Source organism: Homo sapiens, chromosome 1 (genome assembly GCF_000001405.40).
Source record: "Homo sapiens chromosome 1, GRCh38.p14 Primary Assembly".
Lineage (NCBI taxonomy): Eukaryota > Metazoa > Chordata > Mammalia > Primates > Hominidae > Homo > Homo sapiens.
Genome location: NC_000001.11, coordinates 100,497,555 through 100,520,277, shown reverse-complemented (window position 1 = coordinate 100,520,277; position 22,723 = coordinate 100,497,555). Strand labels below are relative to the sequence as shown.

Sequence of the window (22,723 nt, the reverse complement as noted above, 5' to 3'; positions counted from 1 at the left end):
TAAATTGAATAAAACTTTTATTATTTATTAGCAGTGTATTCTTCTACACTTTAAAATAGAGCAAAATATCTTTTGGAAGATAAACTATTCATAACAAAATACATGTCAAACAATTTTTATTATCAGAGTAAAATTACTTTGCTATATACTTTCTATATTATATACATCCACTTCTTGGTGTGTCTATGTAGGCACATGTGTAAAGTAATTTTTAGACATATACATGTACATACATATGACACATATACACACATAATTATGGGAAATTTACAGTAGTCAACTTTACAATCATTTTAATAGCTTCACACAAATTAGTGTTCACAGAACTAAAACTGTCAACATGATTCCCTTTCCCCTACTTCTCAAATGTCATCTGAATTACTTTTTATGATAACTTGAAAAAAATACTGTCATCTTCCTATACAATTAACCAATTTTTATAATAACTCATAATAAAATATTTTACTTTTTTAACTTTAGAAAAGATACATAATTCCACTTATTTTAGTTTTTGATTCCTAAATCATACAATTCGTTTTTTTCATCAGTTGAGTGTAATTTTTGGTACTGCAGTTACTGAAGGTTAATTTAACAAACCTGAGTCAAACATTCATTCAAATGCCTTTTTTAAAAACATAAAACATGAACAAGATGTTTTGATGAAGCATATATAATAGACTCAAGGTACCCTCCCCTAATAAATACATTATAAATAACTCAATGGTTGGGAGTAAAGCACTTCATATGAATCCATTTAACTAGCACTTTCAGTGTCGAAGCAGTCCATTCTTAAGCAGCCTGGAAGGATATCAGGATGTAACGCTCCTCGATTCCTCATAGAAATGAAACCTACAGGCTTCTGAAGACCTAAATATCAGATCATACTTACATGAAAGGGCTGTGAGTACCTATAAGGGTCCTTTCATTTTCATAGTAGGTTCCAGATATGCTAGCGTGTGCAGCAGGGGGTTGTACCCTGTTTTAAAAATATCTCCTTTAATACAGAGAACTACTTAGCAGCATCTTTTTCAGTTTTTTCTCTCCATTGATTTAAAACTGATGTCAAACCATGTGTGATTACAGGCAACAACAACCTCATACCCAAAGCAGGATATCCTAATTGGGTTAAGAACTCTTTTGAAAGGAGGAAGGAAAAAAAAACATTTGGAATATTGAGTCATTTCATAGAGAAAAACCATGAAACCATGCTCTCAGAAGAAATATTCAGTGAATTCTGATCTTTCACTGCATGCTGTATTTTAAAGCCCCCCAGGATGCAAAACTAACTCAAATTGGCTCAGCAACAAAAACAATAGGAAAGGGAATTGTCCTAAATAAGCCATCCCATGCCATTATACTCTTGGTAGAGATAAACTTGGATAAACTCAGTGTAACTAAACTGACTTCCCAAAAGAATGAACTGACCTGCCATATTTATAGTGCGAGCATAAAAATCACTTTCTAAAAACTTTCTCCCTTACTTCTTCTTAATAAGAAGGAATTATTTATTCATTAGAGACAAAACCATACTAAAACTAAACAGATTTAAAATACAAATTTTTGGTAGCAAACAGCAGGAAAATCTAAATCAAAATATAGTGTAGTTTTTACATAATTTTATATATTTATAAATTTATCAAAATAGTCTTTTAAAGTTCACAATACATATATAATGTAACACTGTACATGTAAATATAATAATAAATGTATTACCAAAATACATTAAAAATAACCCTTCAAAATACCAAATTCAACATTAAAACTGTCTTTAAAAGTATGGAAATCTCCATAAACATAGTTTCAGTGCATTTATAGTAGTCATTAACCAGTTTTCTGTTTTCAAGTCTCTTGAAGGTGTTATCTTAGTGCTCTTTTTAATTTAAGGTAAGAAGGCAGAGATATTCTTCCAGCAAGAAGTTGCTTTCCCTCTCCACTGCTCGTCCAGATGAAGAAATTGTGTCTAAGAGAAGAACAGCTTTCACTGGAGTGGCAAGGCCTTAGTAATGAACATATTCAGACTGAAGGGACTGTGCAGGGAGAGACATAAACTGAGGTTAAATTCCATCACATGTAAAACTTCTAGCAAGTCATGCAGCTTCTCCCTTCCACACAAGACAGCTTAGAGATCAATGAAATAAACTAAGCCAAAACAGAAACAAAAAGACAGGAGACACAAAGCATTAGCTAGGTAAGAATGAGATATTCAATTACGCAAAGTGATTGTAAGAAAACTTTATATTTTAAAAGGTTTACTAATTTATTTATAGTGATTAAAAAATTAAGTTTTAATTTAAAAATCGGTAGGTAGCCTAAACTCATCTCTAAGCATTTCTACAATTAATGAGTTTTACTTAACAATATTAAAAGATACTTTTAACTAATTAAAGATTACTAGAATATACTTTGAGATGATATATCCTTAAATTTAATTCAGTACATATCAATGGCATGCTTCTAATGCAGTAGAATTAGCAGCCATTTAAATAAATTCCTTAAGCATGCTTGAATTTATAAATATCTTACACATCCTTTCCCTTAAGGGGAAATGAAGTACTACCAGCTTGAAATCTGATCTTAAGACCCAAAAACATTTATGCAGAAGAGTCTTGCTGTCGGAATTTAATAAACAATAGGCAATTTTCAAGTAAACCATACAAATTCTTCCACATCACATTAGATACTAACATATAAAAGGATTGTGATTGGGATATGTAATCAGAATGCCTGGGACAACAGACATAAACCAGGAAAAGATAGAGAGTTACAGAAAGTTTGCCAAACAGTTATTTTTTTTAGCAGGAAACAGTGATTAGAAAAAGGAACATAAATCAATCTAAACATTAACAAATTTTTTGCTCAATTCTTCCAATTAAATACCTGAGGATAACAAAGTTTACTTGATTTTCTAGTAAATGCCCTTTTCTCCCACCCAATAATTATTTCTCAAATTAGTCTGTAACATTTCATTAACAGGTCTAGTCAATTATAAGACAGGTCCATTTTGGTGATGATATAGGTTATCAGTAAAAAAGAATCTGTCCATTTTCCAAAGAACTTACAAAAGGATTCAAGCTATCTTTTCTCAGCTTCAAAACTGCAGTGAATTTTACACCCCATGAACAGCCAAATGGCTGTTCCTGAGTAAGTCCCTGTTAACACAGTATGTCAAAGAGTTATGGTCCCTGACCGCAAAGGGCGAAAGCCACAATGTCATAACAGATGTGAAATGAAAAGACAGCGGTGTCGACATTAAATAGTAATATACATAGTGTAAAGTTAACATCGTGCACCAGGAAAGGCTTAGGTGAGAGGTAGTAAGGGAAATGGGTGGTTCTCAAGGCTGCCAGTTTCAAGAGCTGTAGGAAGAATGGAAAAGGTTTGGCTATTGACTTTCTTGTATGTGGTTCATGCTAATACTTCAAAATAGGTGTGAGATGATCAAGAATCAGAGCACTATACTATAAATATACCTGAACCCACAGTGCGAATAAAAGAGGTAAGACCCTAAGAAAGTCCAGTGAAGTTGGTCAAAAGCCTTGAAGCCCATATACATTCCACTTGAGGGACGCCAGCTACCACACTCGCAATTAGAGCATAAACATTTTTCTACCTGCTTTTTCTCGGTTTCTTCTAAGTCTGGCAAGCAGTCAGAGGGCAGAGCCAGTTAAGTCCCCCAGCTATAAGAATGCCACAAAGGTATGTTGTGCGTGTATGTGTGTGTGTGTAGCTCAGCTAGTGCTTTCTTGAGAATATTTAACTTTTACTTTTGTTCCGATTAGTAAAGTTGTGCATGTTATCACTAACAGAAATCAGAAATTCTTCAAACTGCATATAACTTAGAACAAAGTTGTTTTTGCAAGCTCCATCAATTATCAATAAACAGAGATGTAGCAAATAAACATTAGACAAGCGACCTTTGTTAAACCAACTTTTTTATAGGGTAAAGTATTTCATATGTACATCAATATAGAGGGGCAAATATGTGTGTGTGCATATATTTATATATATAAACACACACATATATATATTCATTTATTTACATATTTATTTAGTGAATCACAGTACCCAGTGAACTGGAAAACAGAAATAGTCTAGAACATTTTAAAGATTTCTATTATTCATATGGAGAATATATTCATTAGTCTTCTATCCAAAGCCTTTACTTCCACAGAGCTCAAAAACTCTGGCTGGTGTTTAATCTAGGCTCAGATACAGCTCACCACAAGCCCCACTATTTCCTTTTCCAACCCCCTAGTTTGCTCTCTTATGTTGCCTAACTGGCCCTGCAGGCCTCTGCAAACAAATGATGACACCATTTGGCCAACGAATTGACCTTCTGTCCCACCAGTTCAATTCATTCAACAAATAATTACTGAACATAAGTTGTATCTATTAAGCACTAGAGGATAAAAATACAATACCAAAGTCCTCAAAACAAAACATGTTCCATGGTTTCTTTATATGGTATAAAGGAAAGTGAAATGAAAGATCAGTAAAAAGGGTTCAGCAAATTATTCTGACATCAGTATTTTGTAACAAATTAACTTCCTTTCATTTTCAATCTAAAATAAAAATCTTAATACAGATGCACTAAGGGGGCCACAGTGGCTCACACCTGTAATCCCAGCACTTTGGGAGGCCGAGGCGGGTGGATCATCTGAGGTTAGGAGTTCAAGGCCAGCCTGGCCAACATGGCGAAACTCCATCACCACTAAAACTACAAAAGATTAGCAGGGCATGGTGGCACATTCCTGTAATCCCAGCTACTCGGGAGGTTGAGGCAGGAGAATCACTTGAACCCGGGAGGCGGAAACTGCAGCGAGCTCAGATCACTCCATTGCACTCCAGCCTGGGTGACACAGCAAAACTCCGTCTCAAAAAAAAAAAAAAAGAAAGAAAGAAATGCACTAAGGGGAGAAGAGAATTGTTCAAGTCTCCAAGATCTATTCACTTAACAAAAGCATAACTAACACTGTGAGACCTTTCTATTCAGGGAGCAACAGTGTTGGATGACAGGAATATTTAAACTTCAGGTATCACATGGTTATCCTACGGGGTTGTGCTGACGGTCTCTCTGGGTCATTTGTACTCAGCCACAGTTGAGGAAACCTCAAGGAAAAACACAAGTACTCTCCATTTCAAATCTTAGACAGGTTAGATAGATAAGCCAGATGAGTGCCTGGTGGGACCTAATACACATCGTAACAAAGCATAACTTCATGCTTTTTTTGTAGTCACAGGTAGGACTACCAACTATATACAATGTTTTCCAAATGTCCATGTATTGTAAAATTACTAATATCCCAGAAAAGACTATAGCCAGTTACTGGCATTTTTAATTTTTATAGTAAAATTACATTTTATAGTAAAATTGCATTTGCATTTTGAATTCCATGAACAATATTATTGCTATTGATTTTCGTATTCAAAAATAGATTAAATACAACTAGCTGAACTTCTTAACAAATTAGATATATTACTTGACACATCAATTATTCTGAACTAGATATTTGAGTACTTCCTATATGCTAAGGACAGTTCTAAACATCTTATACATATTCACGCATTAAATGTTTCAGACAACCCACTTTACAGATGAGGAAACTGAGGCACAAAGCAGTAATTAGCCCCAATTCATGTAATTAAGAATTGGTGGAGCTGGAATTTGAACCCTAGCAGTCTGACTCTAAAGCTCAAACCCTTAGCTACCATAGTTTAATGTCTCAAGACAGCGAGCATTTGCCTTGTGATCACTACATATTCAATCCAACATTCTCTATCACCCTAACATAGACAAATAATGACCTTAGGCAAGATATGATTCTGAGTGAATAAAAAAAATTATTAAAAAATATTTGTTGCATTAAAAGATAAATACATTTTTGAATGATTTTCATCAGGCCTGAATTCAAAGAATTTTCAGGAATATTCTAAATTTAAAAGAAATTTTCATTATAAGAACATCCATGCTTAAGTATTATGAGTTGATTAAAGTTTTAATTCTGATTGGCCAATGTTTTTAGTTGTTACAATAATGAATTAATGAATCTGAAATACAAAATAAATTATAACAATGACAGTGAAGATGGTTATAAAGAAAGTGAAAATAATTTTTATACCTGAAGTACAAATATTATTTTAGAAGTTAGCCCTTGTTTATATAACCAAGAGATTTTAATTTCTCAAATATAATATTCAAGCTCATTTAATTAGTAAGCTCAACAGAGTTATAGTGAGTTAGGACCAGATCAAGTTTATTATGAATATGTGGTATTCTTATTGTATGAATACCATAAAATTAATAATGTAGCAATATTCAACCTGAAAAATAAGGATAAAATTGCCTTACATTTGCAGCCCCCAAAATTTTTATGTCAAAATATAAGCTTCCATCAAGAAGTCTTGTTCCCTGAAAGCAGTAAGATTTGACATAAAACAAAGTGTTAGGTAAGGAGATCAAGACAATTTGTTCTGTTCTGGAAATCTGCTACTAATCTGTTTTGGCAGATGTAGGTAGTAACTTTAAAATTTTAGCTATTCTGGAGGTGTTTCTTTTTTAAACAGCCCAGTTACCTAATCATGGCAGGAACATGTCTAATAATTACAGATATAAATATTGTACAGATGGTTAATAAATAAAACATGTTAGCTATCAAAAACAGCAAATTATAAAGAATAATGAAAGATTAAGGTCCTTGACAGCAAATGAATGTAACGATGTCTTAATGTTCAAATAACTTGAACCAAAGGATCCAATGGCCTGGAATGTTAGCATCCTACTAAGGTCAAAATCCTGATTCAAAATGTTCATGGACTTTTTTGCCACACTGACATTTTCTTTCCTACATTTTCCCCAGTCCTTTAAGGAATAAACAATAGTGTACTAGTTATCCCTGGTTTAAGTTCTAACCACAGAGGCAAAAAGAACCTAAAATAAAAATGGTTTGTTTTAATGTGATTGAAATTAAAGGAAAAAATACATGCTTGGCAACATGGTATTTTATATACATAACTATAGTGTTTTAAGTTTTAATGAACAAATACAACACTGGGGAAAAATAAATACACCCATAACTGCCTCTGTACTCCTATGTCTCTTTAAGCCTTTGTAATAGAGTTTCCAGTTTTTGTATTGCTCACAAATTAACACATAAAATGTGTGCATTGATACTTATTTCCATAACTGTGGTTTCACAATACTGAAAGTATTTTTTATTTTTTATTTCAATAGGTTTTGAGGTACAAGTGGTTTTTGGCTACATGGATGAATTGTATAGTGGTGAAGTCTGTGACTTTAGTGCACCTGTCACCCAAGTAGTGTATATTGTACCCAACATGTACAATACTGAAAGAATTTGCCTCTGTTAATATGATACATATTTCCTCCAATAACACTAGATGAAATGTAGCTGGGTATGGTTTTATTGGCATCATATTAAGATAAAAGGATGAAGGTTTGTGTTAAAATCAGGTTCGAAAGGTGTGTGTGCATTTTTCCATAGTGTTCTCTGTGCATTTCAGGGACTTCAAGACTTAAAAAGCCAATTTGGGCTCATTATAATGCTATATAAAATAGTCTTTCACCTTCCTACATGATTTTTAATAGATTCTTTTTTCTGGAGAAATTTAATATATGCTTTTCAACAATCACAAAGAGCTCAATTGTTAGATGACAGATTGTTGACACCCAGCTTGACTCAGCCAACCATTACATGAGTGTTTTCAGTTCATCTGAACACCAAAATTATATTGATGCAAACTCAGTTAAAATTTATTTTCTCTTATTTTAGTAAAGCCACATTTCTAGAAAAAAAATACACAACTCCCAGATTACCGTATATTAAAGCTAAAGCTGGAAACTTGTTTGTTTTCTGTTAGTGCTTCATATGCTAACAATGAGACCCAGGCTCCTAAACACTTTAACATTCACGAACCCAGATACATTATCTGACTTTTAGTTCAATAAGTATTTATTAGGCACTTATACTGTACTGTGGAACCTCAGGAAACAAGAGATGTTTCTGAGAAGCTTAAAGGAAAGCAGAGGAGAGAGAGAATCATGTATAACTGACTATAATATGAGAGTGTCAGCGCTCCTAGGAGAGTCGAGAAAGGAAGAGCCATTCTGTTTAGATGGGTCACAAATGCTTATCAAAAAGATAACTATCGAGCCAGGTCAAGAAATACAAAATCAAGCAGAGAAACAAGGGAAAGCAGAGTGGACTGCAAGTGCTAGGGTTCAGGCTTAAGGCAGGTCGTGCCAGGTAGAGCTGCTGGAGAGGAGGCTGGCAGGGAGGCACACAGCCCGACAGGGAAGAACCCTGAATGCCAAGCCAGGGGAGCCAGACTTGACCCAGTAGGCAGAGTGCAGCCACTGAACAAAGCCAAACATGAGAAGGATTTGATTAGCTCTGTGTCTCAGAAATTTAACACTGGCAACAGTATAGAGGAAAGATTAAAGGTAAGAGACAGGAAGACAGAAAGGGCTATGCGATAGTTCATGAAGACCCCAATTAAGGCAGCAGTGGTAAGAATGGAAGGACAGAGGCATTTTAGAGGGAGACTTGATAGGACTTAGTGACTGGTGTGACAAGGGAAAGGCAGGCAGAAGTAGTGTCAAAGCTGACTCCAAATGTCTAGCTTGGATGACTGGATGAATAAAGATGAGATTATTCGGCTAGGAAACCAAAGAGGAGCTGGCAATGGAAGGAACCTGTATTCTCTCTATCCCAGGTAACACCCAGAGGAAGCTGGGAGTGTAGGTCCAATGCTCAGGAGGTTACCCAAAGAGAAAGAGCCAATGTAAGGACAATCATTAAGGGGCAGGCTTAGGAGTAGAAGGACTAACAGGAGCCCATCAGATCTGGCCTTGAAGAAGTCGGCAGTAATCTGCGGGAGAGACTTTCACCAGAATGAGGGGCCACCTCCCAGCTGTAGAGCGGAGGAGTATCAAAGAGACAAGGGAGGGGGAAGTGCAGGCTTCTCTTTCCCCAAGTGTGGCCATAAAGGAGAAACTGTGAGAGGAAGACAGGGCCAAGGGAAGACTCCTCCCCAGCCCCCACCAGCCTACCAACTTGGATGTGCACATTTGCAGTTGAGGAGACCTGCAAACGGAGGGTAAGAGGCTGAAGATACAAAAGGAGAAGGAAGTGGTTAGGGCAACTTCATGAAAGATTCTGGAAAGAACAGTACAGGTAGGTAGAGTTATCATTGGAAAACAGTAGAGTTTCTTTGGAATTAAAAGGGAAGGAAGAAATGGATGAGTCCAGATGCAGATAAACTTTGAGACAGAGAAGAGGGAAGTTAGAGGAAATTACTTCTGATAAATTCTATGTTCTTAGCAGATCTCAAAGCAGGGTCAGCTGGCTCTGGAGATCAGGAAGGGGTTGTGTTGGTGAAAAATGTTAAAAAGTTTTGGAACAGCCAGGTGGGGAAGAGAAAAGGAGCCAAAAAGGGATAAAACAACTAATTAGGAGCACTGAAGGGCCGGGTAAATTAGAAACACATTTGAGATGGAGCCAATTGGCAAAGTTATAGGATTTTCTCCAACAGTGCTCACAGGAGAGAGATGAGGAACAGATACAACAGATGGTTGAATTGATCTAATTTTGGAGGCTGGTAATCAAGTGGTTACAGAATGTCCAAGTAGCAGTGAGAATGTTGGAAAAAGGAAGCAAAAATGACTATGCAGGCTGTAGAAGGAAAGAGGTGAACTGAGATGGCTGGGGAAACAGGCAGGGTCAGAAAGAGGTCATGGAGCAGAGTTAGGAGGAGGGGGAAATGTTTAAAGGAGGCTGGCAGGATTCAAGATGTCAGAAGCAATGTGCTAAGCAATAAGAAGGTTTATTCAATGAATTTTCAAGTGAACAAAAATAAAGATAACTGAGGTTAAGAAAGTTTAAAATAAGATCACTGTGACACCTTGGGCAAGTTATTGCCATTCTGAGTCTTGATTTCCCCATCTGTAAATAGCAGGTTAAATAAATAAGATAATGGATATAAAGTACCTAATACCATGCCAGGCACATAGAAGGTATTCAAGAAACAGTGGATGATGACAATGATTAGAAAAATGTTACAGTTGTCCAGAATGTTGGCAGTGCCCAGGCAGCTAAAAAGTAGAAGCAAAAGTCTTCCAGGGATGAAGGGAGGTGATAACAGTGATGAGGACAAAACGATATGAGTATCCTTGGATGATGTTTTCAAAAGACAGGAGAGCATGGAAACGAGGTTCCTAATAGGAAATGGGAACACAGCCTTTCCCCTCTTAACCATAAAGATTCAGGAGCTACCAGAGAGTAAGTAATGTGTACTTAAAGAGTAAATAAGGGAAAATGAGATAGAATGGGTCAACCTTATTTTGCTCACTTTCAAATTGAGACTTCATGATTTTCTCTTACAGTCTACTGCTTTTTCATAACAGAAGGCTGAAGGACTCACAACAGTCTGCCCAAGAGAGAAAAATATCTACTTCTAAACTGATAAAAACAGTTCTCTCCCACATATATCAACCTTTGAGTTGTTTAGACATTCACTATCAAGGAGAGCCTGCGTCATTTACCAAAGGTTTCTGTTACGGGCAAATCCAATGATTTTACAAGCAATGTGCACGTGGTGTCTGTGCTTCTTTGCACATGCATGCACATCCACATGTATGTGTATGTGTGTGTAAGAGGAAGGTGCAATAAAAATATGCCTTTCTAAGTTAAAGATCTGACACACATGTGCACACACAGTAAAATTCAAATTTTTGGAAGAAACAAATGACCTACACAGTATTAGAAAAGATGCAAGTATGGACTGAGTATACCCACAATCAAACAGGTAAGCATAGCTCAATGCCAGATGCTTTGGAGATAACAAAAATAAAAGACATTTTCTAACCTCAATCAAGGAATTCAGTGGGGATTCAAGGCCCACATCCACAAGATAGGTGACTCTCAACACAAAAGAGGGATGAGGAAGGCCAATAACCAATACAAACAGAATGACTTCAAAAAACATCATGATTGCTATGGTCTGGTGAGATTAAGGAAGGCTTCACAGAGGAGGAGGTTAGACTTAGCCCAACTCCTGATGGAAAGGAGGTGAGAAGCAAAGGGAGGGAGGAAGGGAGACCAAGTTGGGGACATAGCATGTAAGAAAAGCACAGAGGTAGGAGGAGCCATGCACGTTCAAGGACATAAGAAACTGCCTGGCAGAAGCAGAAGGTTCATGCTCAGGAGTGGAGGGATATGAGTTTGGAAAGCTGGTTGGGGAAAGCTGAAAAAGGCACTAAACAGCAAGCTGCAGAGACTGGACCTACTTCATGTCGAGATGGTACACTCCAAACTACCCTCTGGATGCATGCATTAAATATTTTTTAAAGATGAAGAAGAAAGAAAGGGCACAGCAGAAATTAAAAGCAAGATCAACATCTTTGTGACCCAGAAACAATCAAGACAGTGGTGGGACTCTGGCTACACAGCTGGAAGCCTGCAGAAGTGGCTGGGTGTTCCATTCATGTGGGTACATAGGTCGAAAGCCCCTGGCCTGAAATCAGGGGTGGAGTCAGGCTCTCCCACATGGGGAAGGAGGCTGAGAGAAATTGGGACCATTGCCCTCGGGCCAGGGCTGAGATGGAGCCACATCCCTGCCTGAGAAGAAAGCCTGGGAGGAGCTCACCAAGAGATGGAAGCCTGGGTCATTAAGGTCTGTTTCTAGACTGAAAGGCCTAGATGATCGGGCAGAGCCAACAAGAAGGCCAGCAGACGAGGAGGGAAAAACAGAGAGAGAAAGAGGAGAGAAACACACCAACACTCCCATCCCATCTGAACCTACCAACCAAATTCCCTAACACACAAGGCAAATGAACATTATGAGAACTGACGAAGTATGCAACCACAAGGCAAACTCTCACAGGATGAAATGCAAATAGCAAAGCAATATCAAAATGGCTTATCACCTGAGATCCTTCAAGTGAAAAAAATATATATATATATCTATATATATACACACACATATAAAAAGAATAAGAAGCCATAAAACAAAAACAGGCGGGCCCAAATTATAACAGATGGCTATCATAAGGATCAAATTAGAAATGCTGGAAAAGAAAGATATAGCCCCTGAAATCAAAGGTCAGTGGATTGGGGGATATACTCCAGAATGGACACATTAAAGAAAATTCACGAATTGAAAATAATAGGAGGAATTCAATCAGAATACAGCTAGAGCTTAGGAACTGAAAAATATAAAACAGAAGGTAAGATATATTGAGGACAGATTGAAAGTCTCCAATATAAGTTTGGGGGCTATTGGCTGGATGCAGTGGCTTATGCCTGTAATCCCAGCACTTTGGGAGGCCAAGGCAGGCAGATCACCTGAGGTAAGGAGTTTGAGACCATCCTGGCCAACATGGCAAAACCCCATCTCTACTAAAAATACAAAAATTAGCCAGGCGTGGTGGTGCACACCTGTAGTCCCAGCTACTCAGAAAGCTGAGGCAGGAGATTCACTTGAACCTGGGAGGTGGAGAACCTGGGAGGTGGAGGTTGCAGTGAGCTGAGATTGCACTCTAGCCTGGGTAACAGAGTGAGACTCCTTCTATTAAAAAAAAAAATTGTGGGGCTATTGCAAAAGGAGAAAATAAGGGAAATAAGGGGAAAGGCAGTAAAGCAATATCCAAAAAGATAGTGGAGCCGGGTGTGGTGGCTCAAGCCTGTAATCCCAGCAATTTGGGAGGCCAAAGCAGGAGGATCACTTGAGGCCAGGAATTCGAGACCAACCTGGGCAACATAGCAAGACACTCTCTCTACAAAAAAAAAAAGAAGAATGATGGCTGAGAATTTTCCATAACTAAAAAAGCAGCCCTAAGATTGAAAGTACACACTGATGCCAGGCAAGATAAATAATAATGAATCTGTATATAGCTATATTATGGTGAAACTACAGAATTTCAGGAAAAAGAGGAAAAATCTTATAATATTTGGTCTTATTCTTCAACCACAGAAGCTGTTAAACAAAGGCTTACATTAGGAAACTGGTATTTTAAGTGGATTCTGGCAGCAGTGCAAAAATAGAAAGGACCAGAAAAATGAGAGCAAATCAATTCTACCAGAAGATGCCTGCATGAAGTTTTTAATCTAGTGGAGGACAATGGCTTGTATGTATTTGTCTCACCTTGCTCTACCAAAAAAATACTAGGCTCAAGCTAGACACTTACATAAATATTAGCTATAGCTTTATTAATTGGATAAGTTTCCATTTCATTTAATTTCAGTTTTTAAGATACGGGTTCTCTCTGTATTGCCTAGGCTGGTCTCAAACTCCTGACCTCAAGTGATCCTCTCGCCTTAGCCTCCTAAAGTGCTAGGATTATAGTGTGAGCCATTGCACCTAGCCAGCTTTTATAGGTATATAAAAAGCACTTGCTTTCTTTTACTCCTAGCCAAAAAAATAAGATGCAAGATTAAAATAAGACTCTTTTCTATTGACCTAGTAGTATTATTGACACTACATAAGAAAGTATAAAATTAAGCTGAACAACCAGGGTGATTCATAACTCTAATACATTGAAAATATAAATTAATCCTTACCTATTATATATTTCTGATCAACCTTATCACTTAAAGCAAGTTTTATGTTTTCAAGTCTTTTCAAATGTACAGTCAAAAACAGCTGACAGGTTTTATACAGAAAAGTAACATAAACTACTATTTAACACTGGAAACTTAAATTATAGTTACATATATCTACAAATACTGCAAACATATAAACAGTTTATGTGCATATTTAAAGGCATCATCCGAACCATGCTGACCTCATAACAATTTGATGCTTTGTCAAGTAGCATTCTCAGGTCCCCTTGGGAAGGGAAAAAAAATCGCAATGTTGAATGAAGGCCAAAGATGTGGTTCAATACTGAGATTGAGCTCATGTTCTTGATATGTAGTTAGTATCCCTTAGCTGAAAACTTACATCAAATCTAAAGCAATGCCACAACAAAGAGGAAGGATGAAAAACCACAGCAACATAAATATACAACAAGAGGATAGAAAGCTAGTACCTTTAACTGTAATAAATATTAACACCTAGTTAATATTTAACAATATTAATATGAATTAATAAATGAATATTGATATAGTTTGGATGTTTTATCCCCTCCAAATGTCCTGTTGAAATGTGACTCCAGTGTTGGAGGTGGGGCTAGTGGGAGGTACTTGGGTCATGGCGGTGGATCCTTCATGAATGGCTTTGTGCTGTCCTCCCAGTAATGAGTGAGTTCCCACTCTATGAGTTCACATGAGATCTGGTGGTTTAAAAGAGCCTCGCACATCCTCCCTTTCTCTTGTTCCCTCTTGCCATGTGATACACAAGATCCCCTTTTGCCTTCCACCATGATTGTAAGCTTCCTGAGGACTCACGCAAAGCCAAGCAGGTTGTTGGTGCCATGCTCGTACAGCCCACAGAATTGTGAGCCAAATAAACCATTTTTCTTTATGAATTACCCAGCCTCAGGTATTTCTTAATAGCGACAAAAGCAGACGAATAAAAATGTCCTATTTAAAATCAGGACAAGATGACCAATTTTTAAAATGGAGAACAGGCAGAGGGAAAAGACAACAAGTTGATATCGGGAAACACTACTACATACCACTGGAAAGTATCAGCACTTTACTGGGAATGGATATTCAAACAATCAGTAAGTAGCTTATCACTGTCAGCACTAACATTATCCCAAAGTACAAATGAACCATGCTTTAGTGCACTGCCAATCACTCAGATTTTCATCAAACTGGTTATTTTATAAAGCTAGATTCTAATATTTTGATCTCATTCCAGGTCCTACTTTAAGGACCAATAATTCCTTAAAACACATACGTATTCTGCCTGATGTTAGAACACAGAAGAACTTAACCTATTCATAGGCTACCAAGATTGTTCTTACGTTTGTCAAATTTGAGGTGGAAAACATCCAGAGTCTTCATAACCAAAGAGCAGCATTAACCAACTGAGTATAAAAATGCTACTAACACTAGAAAAGAGAACTACATTTAAGCCAACTTCAACTATCATATAAGAATGCTGAGGGAAAGTAGGAAGCACACAATATTTCATTTCCATTTTGCTTTCAACTTTCAACCAAATGAGTATTTTAATTTTTAATTCCCTCCTGTGACCGGTACTGTGTTAGAAACCATGAACTATAAAAGAACTTTTTGAAATGTCTGCAAAAGAAGTTTAAATTTGGAGACAATTCTTACATACACAGACAATATGTAAACAAATATAGATGTTCATGTATATAATAGCATACATGATAAAATAAAGTATTAATTATAGGGTGGATTCCACTTACTGGGGAGAGCTTCACAGAAGACATGGGAGGTAATATATGTCTTTATTTAAAGATGAGAAATTGGTAAGGAGAGCAGGGGGCTTCCAAGAAAGGGCTTCCTAAAGACTAGCAGTAGGCATGAACACTGTGGGAGAAGAAAACAAGAGAATAAGCAAGGTAAATGCTGGTGCAAAGATACAATACTACAGAAATGCAGTACAGAGGGCCTGAAAGCTCAACAAAGAAAGTCAGTATTTATGTTCTAGCACTAAGGGACCACTGGTCATTTCTGAACAGGGAAATAAGATGTTGAAATCTATATCTCTTATCTGGCAATGCTTTAAAGCAGGGGTTGGCAAACTGCAGCTCACTATCCAAATGCAACCCACCACCTATTTTTGTTAATAAAGTTTTATTTAATATTAGCCACACTTTTCGTTTATGTATTGAGTTGAATAGTTGGGACACAAAGCTAAAAATCTTTACTATCTGGCCCTTTACAGAAAAAGTTTGCCAACCCTACTTTAAAGTAAGAATTAAAGGTGGAAAGAGACAAGTTAGGAAGATCATCAAAGACTCAAACACAACAGGGATGAGGAAGCAACTGAATGGAGAAGAAAGGAAAAATTCCAAGAGACAATGGCACCACTGACATTACCTACAACCTTCACTATGAGAATATCCCTGCAAATGTTTGAAGATTAAGATAGAAGAGTGCATAACAAAGCTTATTACAGGCTATAATAAGTTTCACTTATTTGTATAGTTTTATTATTAAAGCTACAGAGCATTCATTCATTTAACCATCCATCATTTTATCCAATCAACAAATACTTAATGAGTGCCTAATATATGCCATGCACAGGGCACATAACTATAAAAACCAGAGGCACCATCCCTGCCCTCACAAAGCATATAGTCTAGTGGATTATGCAAATTCTGAGTGAAAAAGAGTATTCTGATTTAGACCAAGGTGGGATGTAGAGAGGCTTATGGGAGAAGCAACATGAACTAACTCAGAGTTGGGGGTCAGGTAAGGTCAATGTAGATGACTAGTAATCCAGTGATTAAGTGTCATAAAAATAAAGCATAGCAAATATTCAAGACAGATACCACAAGTAATTTCAATTTAATAAAATACTTCCACCCCACCTACACCATAATCACATGTCCCTCATTTCTTAAGCATTTGAAAACTCCTCTGAGTGTCAGGGAGTGAAACTCATTTTTTACAGTAAGTGGGTCAACAAAAATGTAACCTTGTGTGTGTGCATTGCACAGGGCAGTAGAAACTGCAAGACTAGCAAAAGAGGACAAATTAATAAAAATAAAATCTGACTGTTCCTCAGCATTCTGTCACAACCATAAGGAATCCTTAACATTTGTTCTTGTTTTCTGTGTTAAACGATTTAATGACAGAATAAGGAAATCATTTTTACATTTTTCTGGGGGCTGAACTGCTGCAAAAAGTGAGTGAGCAATTGCAGCTTTCAAAAGAGATGCTAATTGTAGCTTTTAAAATATTAGATTCCCTCTAAATACCCATAACCCCCATCCCCTAAGAGTTTCTGGGTCTTTCTTAAAGGTTCTGGGAGGATATTGCCATGCAGACTTCATTTTCCTACCTAAGAATTTTAAAACATTTTTATTGAGTGATTTTCCTAGTTCTTCAAGGCTCCTAATCTCACATCTTCAGTAGTACTAGAACTAGAAGTATGATCTTATTTCGACAATAAACCCAGTATAATTAGACAAGCTGCACTGGACCATAAACAAAAATAACTCATAATCTCCTATCTTATTCCACACAAAGTGGGAATTTTCATCATAATTTAGCTTTTTGACCACAAGTCAGCAGAAGTAGGACTTGGAGCTTTCCCTCTCACAGGAGGTTTTCTAAGCAAAGTTAAAGGGGGGAAGGTCTGCTACAAAGACCTGCTGCTTCTTACTTCCAGGGAGGGTGAGAGGGAGGAAAATGTTGTGTTGATAATTCTATTTATAAATGCTTTTCTTTACAATAAGATGATAAATTTAGGAGGGAGGAGAAGGGAAGTGGCAGCAACTGCCCACACAGACTATTACTTAAATTGAATTATTTAAAAATCACTCTATTCTAGCCAGAAGAGGGACGAGGAGGAGGAGAAGTGAAAAGAAATAACAAAATACGGAACGAGACCCAAATCAAGTTATGTAAACATCATTAGGGGAGATTAACAATTGTCTAAAGAATTGCCCCCATGGTTCTACCAGCAAAGAGGAAAACAAAAAAGTAGAACATTATTCTTGTCAAGCTACCAATGCTACTGGCATTCAGCTATAAATGTGGATTACACAATACCTTTACGTATGTAATCTGCAAGGTATTTACATAGTCATGCATCACTTAATGACAAAGATACATTCTGAGAATGCATCCTTAGGCAATTTCATTGCTGTGTGCACGATAGAGTGCACTTATACAAACCTAGATGGTAGAGCCTGCTACACACCTGAGCTAAATGGTATAACCTATTGCTTCTAGGCTGCAAACCTGTACAGCATGTTACTCTACTGAATATTGCAGGCAACTATAACACAGTGGTAAGTATGTGTGTCTAAACATACCTAAACATAGAAAATAGACAGTAAAAATATGGTATAAAAGACTTAAAAATTGTACACCTGTAAAGGGCACTTACCATGGATAGAGCTTGCAGGAAGGGAAGTTACTCTGGGTGAGTCAGTGGGTGAGTGGTGAGTGAACATGAAGGCCTAGGACATTACTGAACACTACTGTAGACTTTATAAATGCTGTACACTTAGGTTATACTAAATCTATATTAAAAATTTTTCTTTCATGAATAATCAATTAACCTTAGCTTACTGTAACATTTTTATTTTATAAACTTAATTGTTTTAACTTTTGACTCTTTTGTAATAATACTTAGTTTACTATTTTTTAATGTTTTTATCAACTCCCAATCACTTGAAATTAACACTTAAAATAAGCATTGTATGTGTAACTGTACCAAGTATTTTCTTCCTTTACATCCTTATCCTATTTTTTTTATTTTAAATATCTTTAGTATTTACTTTCTAAATTTTTTGTTTAAAATGAAGACACAAACACACACATTAGCCTGGGCCTACACCAGGTCAGGATAATCAATATCACTGTCTTCCACCTCCACATCTTGTCCCACTGGAAGGTCTTCAGGAGCAGTAACACATGGAGCTGTCATTTCTTATAACAACAATGCCTTCTTCTGGAATACCTCCTGAAGGACCTGCCTGAGGCTTACAGTTAACTTTTGTTTTAATAAGGAGAAGGTGTATACTCTAAAATAACGATATAAAGTACAGTATAGTATATACATAGGCCAGTAACAGGTATTTATTATCAAATATTATGCACTGTACATAATTGTATTGCTAGATTTTTATATGGCTGCAGCACAGTAGGTCTGTTTACACCAGCATCACCACAACACATGAGTACTGCAGTTATAACCCTACGAGGGCTACGACGTCACTAGGCAATAGGAATTTTTCAGCTCCATTATAGTCTTATGGGACCACCATTGTATACATGGTCTGTTATTGACCAAAACATCATTAGGCAGCACATGACTGTATGATTATCTATATATCTCTAGCACTTTTTCTGAAAATGGAAAGATCTGCATTCTGATCCAAAAGAAGAGGCTGATCCACAATCGGTATGTGAAAATGCTGACTGAACTCAATGCCTGCTGGAAAGTATATGATTTATAAATATAGTTAGGAAAATGTAAATATATTATCTTTTTACATCTAATCCTTAGTTACATGGATTTAAGTTTTTATGATACCTATACACCCAATTTTTATAGTGGGATCATGGGATCAGAATCAGATTAAGGGGTAGATGGGCTGGCAATTTCCTGGGACCCTAATCTGTAAAAGAATCTAAACTAATGCCAAGGCCAAGCATGGTGGCTCATGCCTGTAAAATAGGACAGGGAACATCAGATATGCCAGGCTCCTCTTAGGGAATGGGTTGAGAGTGGACAGAGAGGGTAAAAGTTTTAAAAGAGGTCTCAGGTAGGGACAGGAGTGGTAATGAATCTAATGCAACCACACATGAACACACACACACACACACACACACACACACACACACACACACTGCATTCTCATGTTAGAAAACATCCTCATCCTCATGGTTTCTTTTTTTTTTTTTTTTTTTTTTTTTTTGAGAGTGGCTCTGTCACCCAGCTGGAGTGCCGTGGCACGATCTTGGCTCACTGCAGCTTCCACCTCCCAGGTTCTAAGGGATTCTCCTGCCTTATGGTAGCTGGGATTACAGGTGCGTGCCACCACGCCCAGCTAATTTTGTATTTTTTGTAGAGACGGGGTTTCACCATGTTGGCCAGGCTGGTCTCGAACTCCTGACCTCAGGTGATCCACCAGCCTTGGCCTCCCAAAGTCCTGGGATTATAGGCATGAGCCACTGAGCCTGGCCCATCCTCATGGTTTCTAAACTGTCAACTAAAGAAAGTAGATATCATTAAGAATGAACCATGGGGCTCCTGTTTTGCTGAGTGGGCCATACGCAGCACACTGCCACCAGCACCTTTCCTCCTCCCCTCTTCTCTACAGAAGCAGGCACTCCCTAGATGATGGCTGAGGAAATGTTTCAAGAATAGCAAGTGTGAAGCGACACCAGGCCAGAGCCTTCCAAGACACCCAGGGCTTGTTCATGCCCTGAGTACGATCAGTGTTGCAACACTGTATGTATATGTACCATGCTTCATATTTCCTTAATACATAGGATTGATTTCTCCTTCCTATTTGTCCTTGTTCCTCTCAAATCGAAACTCACATTCCTATAGATCTCAATACCCCTAGAGGCAATCAAAACAGGTTATTAAAGTAATTCATAATAGGAGTTTACCAACAGAGTTTACCTTACCAGGTATTGTTGATTGTTAAAGAGAGCTTGGTAACCTAAATAGAGATCTCATTGGTAAGATGTGTTTGGAGGTCTTCCCACCTTTCTCTAGAAGAGTGCTGGCTACTTTTAAACACCTTCCTGATACTCTGCTTGCTCCCCACCTTGCATCCCAGGTACCTACCTATAAGCCCTTCTTAGAAATATCTTCCACTTGCCACTTATTTTATTCTGGGTCAGTTCCTTGCAGGAGGTGAAATATTCAAGGGCCTAATGCTTAGTTCTAGGAAGATACTGTTCACTCAGCACCTTCCACGTTTCAATACTCCAAAATTAATTCACTGATATATGATGCGGAAAAAGCCATAATTCCCCAAACCAGCGCACCCCCAGCAAATGCTATCCACTGTATGAATCAGCTCCTGGCTTAGCACCAGATATTCAGAGTGATTGGAAACATAACTGAAAAGTAACTGAAGTCAACAATGCCCATAATCAAAAGAATGAAAGCTATTTCCCTTTTAAGAGAAACTACTTAAAAAGGAGTTGGGGGTAAGAAGAAAAAGAAGGAAGGAAGAAAACCCAGTTGTGACTTGGCGTTTACTTGAAGAGGAGCTAGCAGAATGTAGTGCATAGACAGTTTCACAGCACAGAGGGAAGGCATCGCTCAGAAGGCTTCCTTGGCACTATTAAATTTCTTTGGTGGCAGCCTCGGCTGGGAAGGCAAGGCACAGAAGTTGCATTCAGGGTTCTGAGGACCAGGAGGTGGTGTCTGCGCACTTACAGGGATAGAACGGCTCAGGAATCTCGCTGAAGAAGAAGAAAGCCCGGTGTAGGAGGGTCGGAGGATGGTGGTGTGCTCCTCTGTCTTGGCGCTGTGGGGGCCTGGGGGGCTGTTCAGGTTGCCCCCGTTGCTGTTGCTGCTTCTGTTGTACTGATTATTGTTGAGCTCAGGGTAATTTCTGGTAGTTGGCTGGGAGCTGCCATTCAAGAGGTTGGTAAACGGGCTGGCTGTGAAGCCTGCCTTAGAGGATGAGGAGGTCTTTTTGTTCTCTGGATCATCTGTTGCAGCATTCAAGTTCCCTAGAGAACTGGCTAGCCGGGAGTTTATGGAAAAGCTGAATGGAAAACACAAGTGAGGAGGGAAAAAACAGACAACAATGTACAATCACACAGAGCTCACGTTTCTAAAACACATACTCATGACATTAGGGGAACATGATGAAGATGAATCTGATCAATGTGAATGATGTCAGGATGGCTTCCTCATCACCCTTGGTGTTATGATAATATGTAGCCTTGAGTTATACATATCAAGTTGCTTTGTCAAAAGCAGTTAACTAGGACCCAAGAAACTGGCTAAAACACTTTGACTACAGATCTTGAAATAGAACATCACAGAGTTTTATTTACCCTGGGGTGGGAAGTAAAGGAAAAGGGCCATGTAAGGGGAGCATTAAAAGCAGACTTAAGTACATATTCAATCACATGACTACATCAAACATCCCTACCCATTTTGGTTAGTTCTCCCTTGCCTATACGTGTCAGCTGAGAAATGACAATATCATTTGTATATACAACTGAACTCCATTTTCTGGATCACACTAAGCCAGCTGCTCACTCTCTAGAAGAAGAGCACGCTTTGCACCATTCCCTCCACAACCTTGTCTCCTGCCTTCCCAAGACAGGAACGGAAGCCCCAGAACATCACAGGGTCTTCCGTGGTTTCTCCTCTTCTCCCTTGTCCCCTCCTCTGACAAAACTGCAGCTAAACTCATCGCCTGCTGCAAGCTTCCTTTACCTCAAACCAGCACCTTAGAAGAGGGAGAGAAAAATTACCTTCTTACAGTGGCACCCGAAGACAAAGAAGTTCTGTTGATCCTCTTGGCCGTTGCTGAAGGGGACAGTGCCATTTTTGATGTCTTCAAAGTAACTGCAGATCCTTGCAGGGATGAACTTAATCTTTGCGGAGAAAAATGGCAAAGTGTCACAATAAAGTAGTCTTATCTTAAACATTCAGCAACTAACTAGGACAAGATAAATTAATCAATCTTAAAGATATCATGACAGGTCCTAATAGTGATGACAGCAGCGGCAGCCACCACTGACACAGCACTAACTCTGCCAGGCACTGTTCTAAGAACCTTAAAGATGTCAGCTCAGCTTGTCCTTACAACAACCCTAAGAAGTAGCTAATATTGCTGTCCTTACTTTACAAGTGAGGAAACAAAAACACAGAGGAAAAGTTCCTCATCCAGTCACTCAGTTAGTGAACAGCAGACCTGGGATTCAAACCCAGGAGTCAAAGTCCTGCTCTTAGCCATGATCCTGTCTTCCTGGGCCACTGCCCTTCTTTGCCACTGGTATTCATTCCTCAGCACAACCTTAGATTCCACTTCTTATATGTCAAATCCATCCTCTTCTTTTCACCCTGCAAACTACCCTAGGCGAGGCCATCTTTATTTCTTATCCTTGACTACAAGTGGCATCTT

General features: G+C 38.0%; 1 protein-coding gene across 5 annotated transcripts in view; it reads right to left on the bottom strand.

Moving 5' to 3' along the window:
• CDC14A (cell division cycle 14A) overlaps positions 1–22,723 on the bottom strand; it is a 175,277-nt gene continuing 152,554 nt past the window's right edge. For 3 of the 5 annotated variants that reach the window (NM_001319211.2, NM_033312.3, NM_001319212.2), the window contains 2 exons: positions 22,071–22,193; positions 20,818–21,349 (listed from right to left, as the gene is read on the bottom strand). In NM_001319211.2, coding sequence (NP_001306140.1) covers positions 20,899–21,349; positions 22,071–22,193 — 574 coding nt within the window. In that variant the 3' untranslated portion in view covers positions 20,818–20,898. Of the gene's footprint in view, positions 2,028–15,340; positions 15,465–20,817; positions 21,350–22,070; positions 22,194–22,723 lie in introns of those variants that run through there. The other 2 variants (NM_001319210.2, NM_003672.4) reach the window with 2 other exon arrangements.